This window comes from Homo sapiens, chromosome 6 (genome assembly GCF_000001405.40).
Source record: "Homo sapiens chromosome 6, GRCh38.p14 Primary Assembly".
NCBI classification, from domain to species: domain Eukaryota; kingdom Metazoa; phylum Chordata; class Mammalia; order Primates; family Hominidae; genus Homo; species Homo sapiens.
Genome location: NC_000006.12, coordinates 36,842,257 through 36,853,237, shown reverse-complemented (window position 1 = coordinate 36,853,237; position 10,981 = coordinate 36,842,257). Strand labels below are relative to the sequence as shown.

At 49.9% G+C, this 10,981-nt stretch overlaps 1 annotated feature.

Annotated features, from left to right (window-relative positions):
- Positions 6,825 to 6,994: an enhancer, noted in NCBI's record as "experimental_91463 CRE fragment used in MPRA reporter constructs". NCBI's record gives its function as "activates a minimal promoter by MPRAs in K562 erythroleukemia cells, with activity observed for both the introgressed and non-introgressed 6:36814105 variant alleles {active_cell/tissue: K562}" and the evidence as "EXISTENCE:reporter gene assay evidence [ECO:0000049][PMID:34662402]".

The window sequence follows — 10,981 nt, the reverse complement described above, 5'->3', positions numbered from 1 at the left end:
CATGGGGGGCTCATCAAGGCACAGGAGAGAGACAGCTCTCTGCTGCTTCTCGTGGGGGAAGGGAAAGAGATTCTAGACATTTGGAGAAGGCTTAAAGTTGGAAGTAGATACACCAGTGGAAAAGGCTTTCAAACAGGTGCCCCTGGGATGATGGATAAGAGAAGCTTGGCACACAGACTATAAAGAATATGGCCCAAGGGCCCTAGCCCAGGGCTTCTCACATGACTACATGCAGGAATCACTGAGGGAGCCTGTTAGGAAGCAGCTTCTGACTCAGCACTCAGCCAGAGAGTCTGCAGTTCTCGCCAGCTCCCAGGAGATGGTGACTGCCGGTCCAGACACCACCCTTTGAGTAGTGAGGTCCTAGAGGTCACATTTGTCCAACATGAAACTGGGGAGGGGGGGTTTCCCTAAGAGCAAGGGCAGTCAGGACCATGAACCAATCTTATGCCTCCTGGAGCAGAGCTCTCCACCTCATCCTGGTGGTCTTGGAAGAGTGAAGAGATTCAAAGCACACGATGAGCTTTAACATAAGCTGCTGGCTTTGGCTACTGGGATTGAGCTTTATGAAAGTGTTCTGTTCCCACAGCAGTACAACATGGACTTCAGACCCTGGTATGTGGCACTGAGATACCTTGTGTGGACACCAGGGTGGGTGAGATTGGGTGATCAGTAGACATCACAGAAAATGCAGGGAAAAGAGCATCAACAAAGATGACATTGGGGGAAAGAGCTCTGGAACCTGACTGTCGGGGTTCAGATCCCAGCTCCACCACTTAGCAGCAGCATGAACTTAAGTTTCTTAATTTCTCTGTGCTTTAGTTTCTTCCACTATAAAATGAGAATAATGGGCCAAACTTCAAGGGCTATTGTGAAGATTAAATGAGCTAGAACAGGTATTTAGAACAGGAACTGGCATTTAGAAAACACCCCCAAAATGCTAGTTGTTGTTACTACCAGTGGCCCTTGAAGCCACCACACACCTGTCCTACCTCTTCATCTCGACATATACACAGCCTGACCTGTCTCAGCCTCTCACCTCACAGCTTCTCCCTCCCACTGGGCTAACCTCTGAGAACAAGGACCTTGTCTTACTCCCCTCTGTAAGTCTTCCCAGCACCTTGTGTAGTAATTTGAGGTTATTGCTGAATGTATCAAATAAAATGTTCTCCATCAGAAAAAGATTGAGATCCTCTTGTAGAAATTGCTGTACCCCAACTCTCCAAACCCAGGCTTCAGCTGGTATGGCAGCCAAGCCTTTCCACTGAGCTCTCTGGAAGTCCTCAGCCTGATGTATTTTTGGATTGTGTCTCCAGAATATGTCAAAATAGCTTTCCCCACACAAACACGATTGCTGCCCCCAGATCCTCAAGCCAGTCAGAGCCATCACTGGGGCCCCTTTTGGCACCATATTCTTGCAACATGTGGAGGAGGAAGCATTGAAAAGCACGTTAAAGCGGTGGAGTTTACCGCTTACAAAGAAGCACTTTGTGGTCTCAGAGTCCTGTTGCCTAAAGAGTGAGTTACTACTTTTTAGGTAAATACCAAGATAGGGGATCTTCCAGCAACACTCTTACAGATGAGAGAGAAGCAAAGTGGGAAGAAAACATGTTAGGGTCTCACTCTAAGGTTGGCTTGGCCTGATTTGGGAATTGGGTTCCCGATTGTTTTTCCAAATGGATAACTCAAGATCCTTAATTGCATCTGAAACCACAGATGGCCAGTTGTGGGCAAGGTTTATGGACTGAGGGATGTGAGGCCTTTTTGTGACCTTTGATGAATCACTTTACTTCTGGAACTTGGAGCGCTCATTCATTAAGGGAAGATTTGAACTAGCCCCCAGTTTGGGAATCTAGGTCATTCTGAGAAGATTCCTCCAGCTGCCAAGTTTCCATTTAGCATGCTATTTTGGAAATTTGCCACTAGAGGCCGCTGTGAATACAGTTTAGCCTTGCAGCTTTTTCAAAGGCAGAAGCCTGCAGAAACCTTTCATGAGTTACTAAGACTTGCCTGCTATTTCTTGGTTGTGGAAAGCCAGCAACTGCTCAGATTGTGAGAGGGTAGAGTTGAGATGTCCACCTGGCACAGAATGAGCCTGTAAACGTGCTCCGTTGACACGGGCTGGCCGGCCTTCTTTTTTGTCTACGGGACTAGATGGAGGAGCCCTCCGTGCATGGTAAGGTTGGCTGAGTCCTGTGACCAGGTCCTGGTTCTGTAGCGTACCTTCTAAAGGGCTAGTTCCCTCTTGGCTGTTTAATATTCTGCTTTACAGTTGAATTCATTCATTCAACAAGTAATTTTGGAGCTCCTCTTATACATCCACCACCAGCAAATATTTTAAAAGAATCAGAGAAAGTCAACGAAAAGGAACCTTAGAGGAAAGCAAAAAGTTATTGTCCCTTCTGTGTTTCATGGTCTGTGGATGCTCCTCGTACGTATTTTTCTCTTAATCCCCCAAACCAGCCTCTGAAGTTGGTATTATTATGCCCATTCCTGGATGAGCAAACTGAAGACCAAAGGCAAGTAGCACAAAGCCTTGTACAGACTGAATGGATGGAATAAAGGGCCGGACCTTGCATGGCTAATAAAAGGCAGGGCTGGGGCTTGAATATGGGGAATTTGGATCCCAAGTTCTGCTCTTTTCCTATGATCTCCACCTTTGACATACAGAGGAGAAAGATGAGGTGCAGGAAAGGAATAATCTGGTGGCAGGGCAGAGGTTAGAACCTGAATCTCCTGCCTTACTGGCTGGGGTTGTTCAACTGACTTCTCCATCCTAGCGTGTCCCCAGGCCAAACTGACTGGCTGGCCCTAGCCTCAGCTGTCTCTACGCTCCTTCCAATCAGAGCCTGAACCAGGCCTGTGGAGGCGCAGCAGGAGGAAGGGCACACAAATGACCCTCATCAGGATGTTTATTGGATCATAACTGTATTATCCTCACCACTCAGCTAATCTCATAGAAATCGCTTTCCTCTCCGTGAGGATCTGGCCACAGCTCCATTAAGAGCTGCTGCCCTGCATACCTGTGAGGAAGCTCTTATACAGCAGAAATAGTGGAGAGGAGAGAGAAGTCATATTTCTACTTCCTCATTACACTGACGGGGGCAAGTGGCAATTTCACTGTATAAGAAAGGCCCTCAAAGGAAAGGGAGTTCGAAGTTCGTGATTTTGGGGGCAACATTCGGCTCCGAAGGAAATGTTTCCTTTGTGCTTCCCTTTTTGAAAGCATTTGTGATGCTGTTTAAGATCAAATAAGAAAAGGGAAGGAATTTGTGTTTGGGGAGCTCACGACGTGCCAGGTACTTTATACATATTATTCCATTAATCCTCTCTGAAGAGCTGTGGACAGGGCATCACAATGCCCCTCTCATAGATGAGTCTGTTTCATAGATGAAGGCACCGCCTTAGTTGTCTGGGCCTTGGCGGGGCTGAGCTAGGAGTCTGTTCTTTCCCTCTGTTGCACTCTTAATTCACACAGGGATGGTTTCCCTGCCGTTCTTTTTCCCCTCCTCCCTCCAGCTGAAAAAATATGGAAACTAGTTTTCAAGCCAGGACTAGTCACTGTCTGACTTTGACTTTGGTAACTTCCTTTCCCAAGCCTTAGTTTTTCCATCTGTAGAATGAGAGGCCCAGACTCTCATTCTAACTGCATCTAGTTTAAACCTCTATGATTTTATAATAGTATTTTTCTCCCAGGGAGCTCCCAGTACATCCTCATCTAATTGGAATCTCATACCAACTCTGGAAGGAATGGTAGTATGGTTATATTATTAACCCCATTTTTAAGCTGGAGGAAGAGACCAGAGAACCCGGCACTCTGTTGCAAACTCCCCCGCCGGCCCCCTCCGCAGGCCAGCTGCCTCCAAGGGGCTGTCAGCAGCAGCTCCTGCAGCCTGACACTTGAGCCTTACGCAGGCTCCTGACAGAATTATCAGAGAACTGGGGAACAAATACTTCCCGTAATCGGGGCGACGGTTCTTAGCCAGAGGTGGAGGAGGCAAGATGTGAAGTGTGTCTGATGAGTTCCTCTCCCAGTGTAGGGTCAGAGCTAATAAAACCCAAGGAAATCTCGGCGGGCTGCTGGAGATGCGAGCGAGCAGGCGAGCCCTGGGGGCAGGGCCACCGGGACTTAAGCTTCCGCACAAAGCCAGGCTTGTGGCATTTTGTGCACATTTCAGTTACCTTCGGCAGCCAGGCAGGCAAATACAAGCAGCTTGGCATGAAAATGAATTTAGAGCTTAAAAGAAAAGAAGTGTTTCACCCTCGGTGGCTTCTCAGGCTGCCCCGGTACAGGTACAGCCAGGGGAGGCAGGTGCCAAGGAGCAGTGGTGACAAAGAATCTAAGGGCTGGAGTGAAATGTCAGTTCCCTTCCCCTCCCACACACATGGCCTGAGGGAGGGAGGGGCGGAGTCCTGCAGCTTGAGCCGATAACCCTCACAGCCGCTGGAGCAGGAGAGAAAGGAGAGGCCGCCCACGTGAAAATCAGCTGCTCCGTCTCCGCCCTTGATGCCAATCAGGAAGGCATCAAGTGTTGGGAGGCTGAGACTTCAGGGTGGGACCTAGTTTGCTTTTAAGCATCCGAAGAAATGTGAGGACTCATTTTCCATTTCCCAAGATGCTGAAACAAGAGGAAATGGGTTTACATTGAATGGACAGAGAGAGAGTTCAGGAGGCCTACGAGTAGACTGGCTGGCTTGGCGGGTAATGTACTTAAATGAAATTAAACCCAGCACAAAGAAAGAGAAGGAGGCTGAGGCTGAGGCTGGGAAAGGCCAGGCTGTGGAGGACCAGGGTAAGAAGGCCCAGTCCCTGCCATCAGGACACATCCCCTGCCAAGGGAGAAAGGGGAAACATCCACCAAAGTGAAGAGCTTGGGTGTTCAGTGGAAAAAGAAACTCGGTTAGACTGCGAGAATCCAGGCTAGCTTCTTGGAAGAGATGGTACCTGAAACATGGTTAGGATTTGGGCCGGGCAGAGAGGAAATGGCAGGAAGAAAGGCCCAGGGGCAACCATATGGGGCTGGTTCCAGTTGGATATACCTGGTAGTGAGGGTGGGGCGGTGAAAGGTCACTTTGGTCTTCCTTGTGCCAAATGGCACAGATGGCACATCTCTGCTTATCAATCGACAGAAAGTCAAGGCAATCCATCCCCCCTTGAAGTAGCTGAGGTGAAGGAAGGAAGGATCCAGGAGACTGATTCTAATCAGCGTGCCTATGAGCTATTTGCTCTAATTACTGCTTGTTAACAAAACAACTTTGGGTGAATGTCTTTCCTTCTCTAGACCTCAGTTCCCAGATCTGTAAAATCTAGGCGAGTTGGATTATCTTTAAAGTCCTTTGCAGGACTGAGGCCTCTAATCCCATGACTGACAATATTAAGCTAAATATTGGGTTAAATGTGTATGAGGGCAGGAGTGGGGGAGGTTACAGACTGGGATGTCTACACTTGGACATAGTGAAGAGTGGAAGGGTCACAGCCTGGGCACAGATCTTGTGGTGCTGGGCTAGGCACTGCAGACGTGTGAGGGGCTCAGATCTGGGCCTGGGCCATGGCAGAGGCTGAGGCTTCTGGACAGGCCCCTGAGTCAGGTCAGGGAGCAGAGGCACTGTCCTAAGGAGCAAAGACAGCAGCTTTGGTCATACATTGTTCTAGGTTTGCACCCTGTCTCTGCCACTGACCTGTGTGAGTTTGGGCAAATTAAATTACCGAACTACTTTGGGCCTTAGTGTCCTTATCTGAAAAGATGGAGCAAATAATGCCCATTATTCTCCTACATATTTCCCAGAACATAAACTCAAAATTTACGCTGTAACCCCACTGGACTGAGCTTCTAAGGAGACTGTGTCTCCCTCTTCTCTCTCTCCCTCATGGTGAACTATGCACAGCACATGGTACAGAGGAGTACAGTTTTGTTAAGTGGGATAATGAGCTTATTGTGAGGATTAAATATGTGATGGAGGCCAGGCGTGGTGACTCACATCTGTAATCCCAGCACTTTGGGAGGCCGAGGCAGGAGGATTGCTTGAGGCCAGGAGTTTAAGACCAACCTGGGCAACATAGTGAGATCTTGTCTTTAAAACATTAAATTCAATTTAAAAAATAAGGTCGGGTACGGTGGCTCACGCCTGTAATCCCAGCACTTTGGGAGGCTGAGGCAGGTGGATCACGAGGTCAGGAGATTGAGACCAGCCTGGCTAACGTGGTGAAACCCCGTCTCTACTAAAAATACAAAAAATTAGCCAGGCATGGTGGCGGGCGCCTGTAGTCCCAGCTACTCAGGAGGCTGAGGCAGGAGAATTGCTTGAACCTGGGAGGTGTAGGTTGCAGTGAGCTGAGATCACGCCACTGCACTTTAGTCTGGGTGACAGAGCAAGACTCCGTCCAAAAAATAAATAAATAAATAAATAAATAAATTTTAAAAATAAATAAATAGGCCGGGTGCGGTGGCTCACACCTGTAATCCCAGCACTTTGGGAGGCCGAGGCGGGCGGATCACGAGGTCAGGAGATCGAGACAATCCTGCCTAACACGGTGAAACCCTGTCTCTACTAAAAATACAAAAAATTAGCCAGGCGTGGAGGCGGGCACCTGTAGTTCCAGCTACTCGGAAGGCTGAGGCAGGAGAATGGCGTGATCCCAGGAGGCGGAGCTTGCGGTGAGCCGAGACCGCGCCACTGCACTCCAGCCTGGGTGACAGAGCGAGACTCCATCTCAAATAAATAAATAAATAAATAAATAAATAAATAAATAAGTGATGGATGTTAAATTCTTACATGCTTATTGCATGGTGAGTCCTTAGTAAACACATAAAAATCCCTTCCCTTCTCTGTGGTATTGGCCCAGGGGCCCAGAAAGTCACAATGTGATAGTTGTCAAACAACAAGTAAACAGCTCAATTCATGACAGATGCTGAATAAATGTTTAGGAGTGGGGAGATAGATAAGAAATGTGTGTAGTGGGGGAGATTCAGGCCCTGTCTGAGACTGACACGTGCTCACCAGGGGTCCTCATGAAGGAGTCACTGTTTTGGAGGCCAACAGTGGATTTGGACATAGTCACCTCACAAACGGGGCACCTACCATGTGTCAGGCCCTGCCCTAGGGGCTTGGGATGCAACAATGAACAAGACAAAGTCCTTGCCTGCAGAAAGCTTCTATCCTAGTGGGGGAAACAGGCAAGGATCATGCTATGAAGAAAAATAAAGGCGCGTAAGGGGAGTGAGAGCAACGTGGTACTATGTTGGGTAGTGTGACCAGGAAAGCCTCTTCAAGGAGAGGGCATTGAGGCAGAGACCTGAGGGGCCTCAGGGACCCAGGGGAGAGTGGTCCGGGCTGAGGGAGTAGCAAATAGAAAGGCCCTGAGGCAGGTGCCTGCAGGGCCAGTGAGGGGCCAGTGTGGCTGGAATGGAGTCAGTGCCAGGGCGAGAGAGGAGATGAAGTCAGGTCACGAGCAGAGCCCAAAGCCCAGCAAGTCCTTTTTCCGTAGAATGAGATGGGAGCCAGGGGAGGGTCTTAAGCAGAGGAGCGACACGACCTGACCTTGCTTTTAAGTGGATCCTCTGGTTGCTGTGAAGGTTCTGGTATCTAGACTGTAAGCATGGGGGGCCTCCCTTACTTGGAAAAGCAGGAGTGGCTGGAAGGAAGAGGAGGCCAAGAGAAGTGAGCAGGGAGCTGGTGCCCACCAGGTTGCAGACAGATGCCAGGGCCAGGCAGGGTGGAGGGGTGGATCCTGGGGGCAGAAAGGGCTACTGGGCTGGCGGCAGGAGGGCCATGGGGCTTCTTGCCCAGATGCAACATGGACTGAGCTAGCTGGCACTGTGACATGGCGGAAGGGAGGGGCAACATGGGCTCTGGTTGGGATGGTGGGGCATTAAGCAGGGAGGCTGCCACCCTTCCAGCAGGAATGAGGGACTGGCGACATGGAGAGTCCCATGGCTCGCCTCTTGCCACACCTTTGGAGTCAGGTCCTCATTGCTCTTGGGTACCTGGCCTCACTGTTATTCATGGAGTTTCTTATCAAGGGAAGAGTCGGATGACCTTGATTCCATCACTCTTCCTCTTTAAGCTTTTCAGTAAAAGAAGGGGTTTTACCTGGATGGTCTCCAACCAAGCCCCTTCTAGGATTTCTATTAATGGGAGGAATCAGACACTGCATCTCCCCTGCCTCTCTACTCCGATGACGGTTTCAGTTCCTGCCATGCCTTGTCTTTCCTTCTCTCCCCGGGGCTACAATGAATAGTGGTGCAGGGTGTTTAGTGCACAAGGGCACCCAGCCAAGGGCGTGAGTGGGGGCTCAGTCCAGCTCACATTCTGTCCAGAAAACCTTGTGTCCTGCCTGACTCAAGGTTGCATTTACCCACAGTAGAGAATGCCTTTTTCTAGTTTGTTCTAGGTGCAGCATGGGCAGCCCTACTTTCCTGTCCCCTGCACAACCCCGCTTCTGCTCTTCTGTGCCCTTTTCTCCCACCATCCCCAGCCTCAAACGGGGAGAGGAGGGCAGCATTTACAAGTAGTGCTTTGGGAGGGGTGAGGGGACAGCAGCTGTCTCTTCTGTGAGGAGCTCTGCCCCCTAAGCCCGGTGGTGCTTTTCCCCTCCTTATCAATGCTGTGAGTTGCCTCTCAAAATTGCTCTGCCGTCATTAACACCGTGGATTAGGTCAGATGAGAGCATGTTTGCAGTCTTGGATGGCAAAGGCAAAACGCTGATGCTGATTATTCCAGATCTTCTGGGCATGGCCCATTCCGTGCTTGACGTTCTTAATCAGAGGGACGAGTGGTAGTTATGTGGCGGGTGGGCCAGGGCCATGGTTGTTTCTAATCTGGCTGCCAGGCACAGACGGCACGTCTGCAGCACCTGCCAGCCCACGCACTGGCCTGCCTGGACATCACAAGTGACCAGGGTTACTCGGCACTATCATATCTCTCAAAGAAGAAACAACTCCTCCAACGGCAACATCTGTGGGGCTGCTTTTGAACTATCAGCAATTCATTTGAGCAAGAGCTGGGAGCATTTTTCCCCTGGGCCTGATCAGTAAGTTGCTTTTTTTTGTTTTTTGTTTGTTTGTTTGTTTTCTTTTGTTTGTTTGTTTGTTTGTTTTGTTTTGCTTTTTGAGACAGAGTCTCACTCTGTCGCCCAGGCTGGAGTGCACTGGCGCAATCTCAGCTCACTACAACCTCCACCTCCCAGGTTCAAGCAATTCTCCTGCCTCAGCCTCCTAAGTAGCTGGGATTACAGGCCCGCACCACCACGCCAGGCTAATTTTTTTTGTATTTTTAGTAGAGACAGGGTTTTGTCATGTTGGCCAGGCTGGTCTCAAACTCCTGACATCAGGTGATCCACCTACCTCAGCCTCCCAAAGTGCTGAGATTACAGACTTGAGCCACTGCACCCAGCTCCTGATCAGTAAGTTTTACGTTCTGGTTGGCCATGCAGCGGGAGGGTGTCCTTCAGACCACCCCTCCTCCAGTGTCCCCTTCTGAAAAGCCTCTGTGCCCAGCGGAGGCTGTGGCCTTGCATCATGGCCCATCGCCTCCTGGCCTCATATTCTACCTCCACCAACCCTGACCCTGTGCTCCAGCCACACTACAGCCCCCAGTCGCAGATCTCTGGCCCTTCCTCATGCTAGTCCCCTGCCAGGAATGCCTGCACAGCCTTGTCCTCCAGGCAGAAGCTCATCATCTGTAGCAGCCGCTGCCTTGCCAGTGCCCACTGCAGCCTCTAACTTTTCCCACTTCAGTGTGCTCCAGTCCCACACCCGACTGCCTTTCTTTGCCTAAGGCTTTCTCTGGCTTCTGGAACCTGCATTGGCCTCTCTGTGCTGGTTAGGCCAGAAGTGCCAGGAAATTAATACCCTCCAAAAGCAGCCCTCAGCCACTGAGCCAATGACTGGCAGAAGTTGGTATAAACATATCCCAGCTTCCTCACCCCTCTGGCAGCCTAAGTTTGAAATGCGTTCTACAGTCTCCCAGAGTTCTGCAGCAGGACTATACCCTAGTTGCCTGTAGTGATGACTGGCTTGATAAAGCACCTTTTATTGTCTACCTTCCCTTCCCCGTCTCACCTCTGCCCTCATGAATGGATTAATGCCCTTATGAAAGGCATTATCCCTGAGCTAGGCCCCTTTTTGCCCTTCTGCCTTCCACCAAGTGAGGAAGTGTTTGCCCCTCTGGAGGACACAGCAACAAGGACCATCTTGGAAGCAGAGACCTGGCCCTCACCAGACACCATACCTGCCGGCACCTTGATCTTGAACTTCTCAGCCTCCAGAAGTGTGAGAAATACATTTCTATTATTATTAAATTACTCAGGCTAAATAATTTTGTTATAGCAGCAGGAACAGACCAAGACACCTCCCAAATGTACTACTCACATACAAATCTTTGTCTCAGGGTCAGCTTCTAGGGGAAACAAACTTCTAAGACATCACCTCAATGTCCATCTCAGTATCACTTCCTTTTTGCAGTTTCCCCTGACCCTGACCCTCCCTTCTTCCTGTTCCTGGGGCAGAACCATTGGTCACTCTTCTCCCAGAGCCGTTTTTTTGTTTTTTTTTTTTTTTGAGATGGAGTCTCGCTCTGTCGCCCAGGCTGGAGTGCAGTGGTGCGATCTCGGCTCACTGCAACCTCTGCCTCCCAGGTTCAAGCAGTTCTCCCACCTGAGCCTCCCAAGTAGCTGGGATTACAGGCACCTGCCACCAGGCCCAGCTAATTTTTTTGTATTTTTGGTAGAGACGAGGTTTCACTATGTTGGCCAGGCTGGTCTCAAACTCCTGACCTCAAGTGATCCATCTGCCTCAGCCTCCCAAAGTGCTGGGATTACAGGCGTGAGCCACTGTGCCCGGCCTCCCAGAGCCCTTTCTACCTACCTCAACCGCATTCCTCATGCTGCACTGTGGTTTCTCTCTCTTCATGTCCTGGGGCTCCCAGTAGCCTGGGAACTCTTTGGGGATAGATACTGTGTCCTTTTTGCCTTTTATTCTCT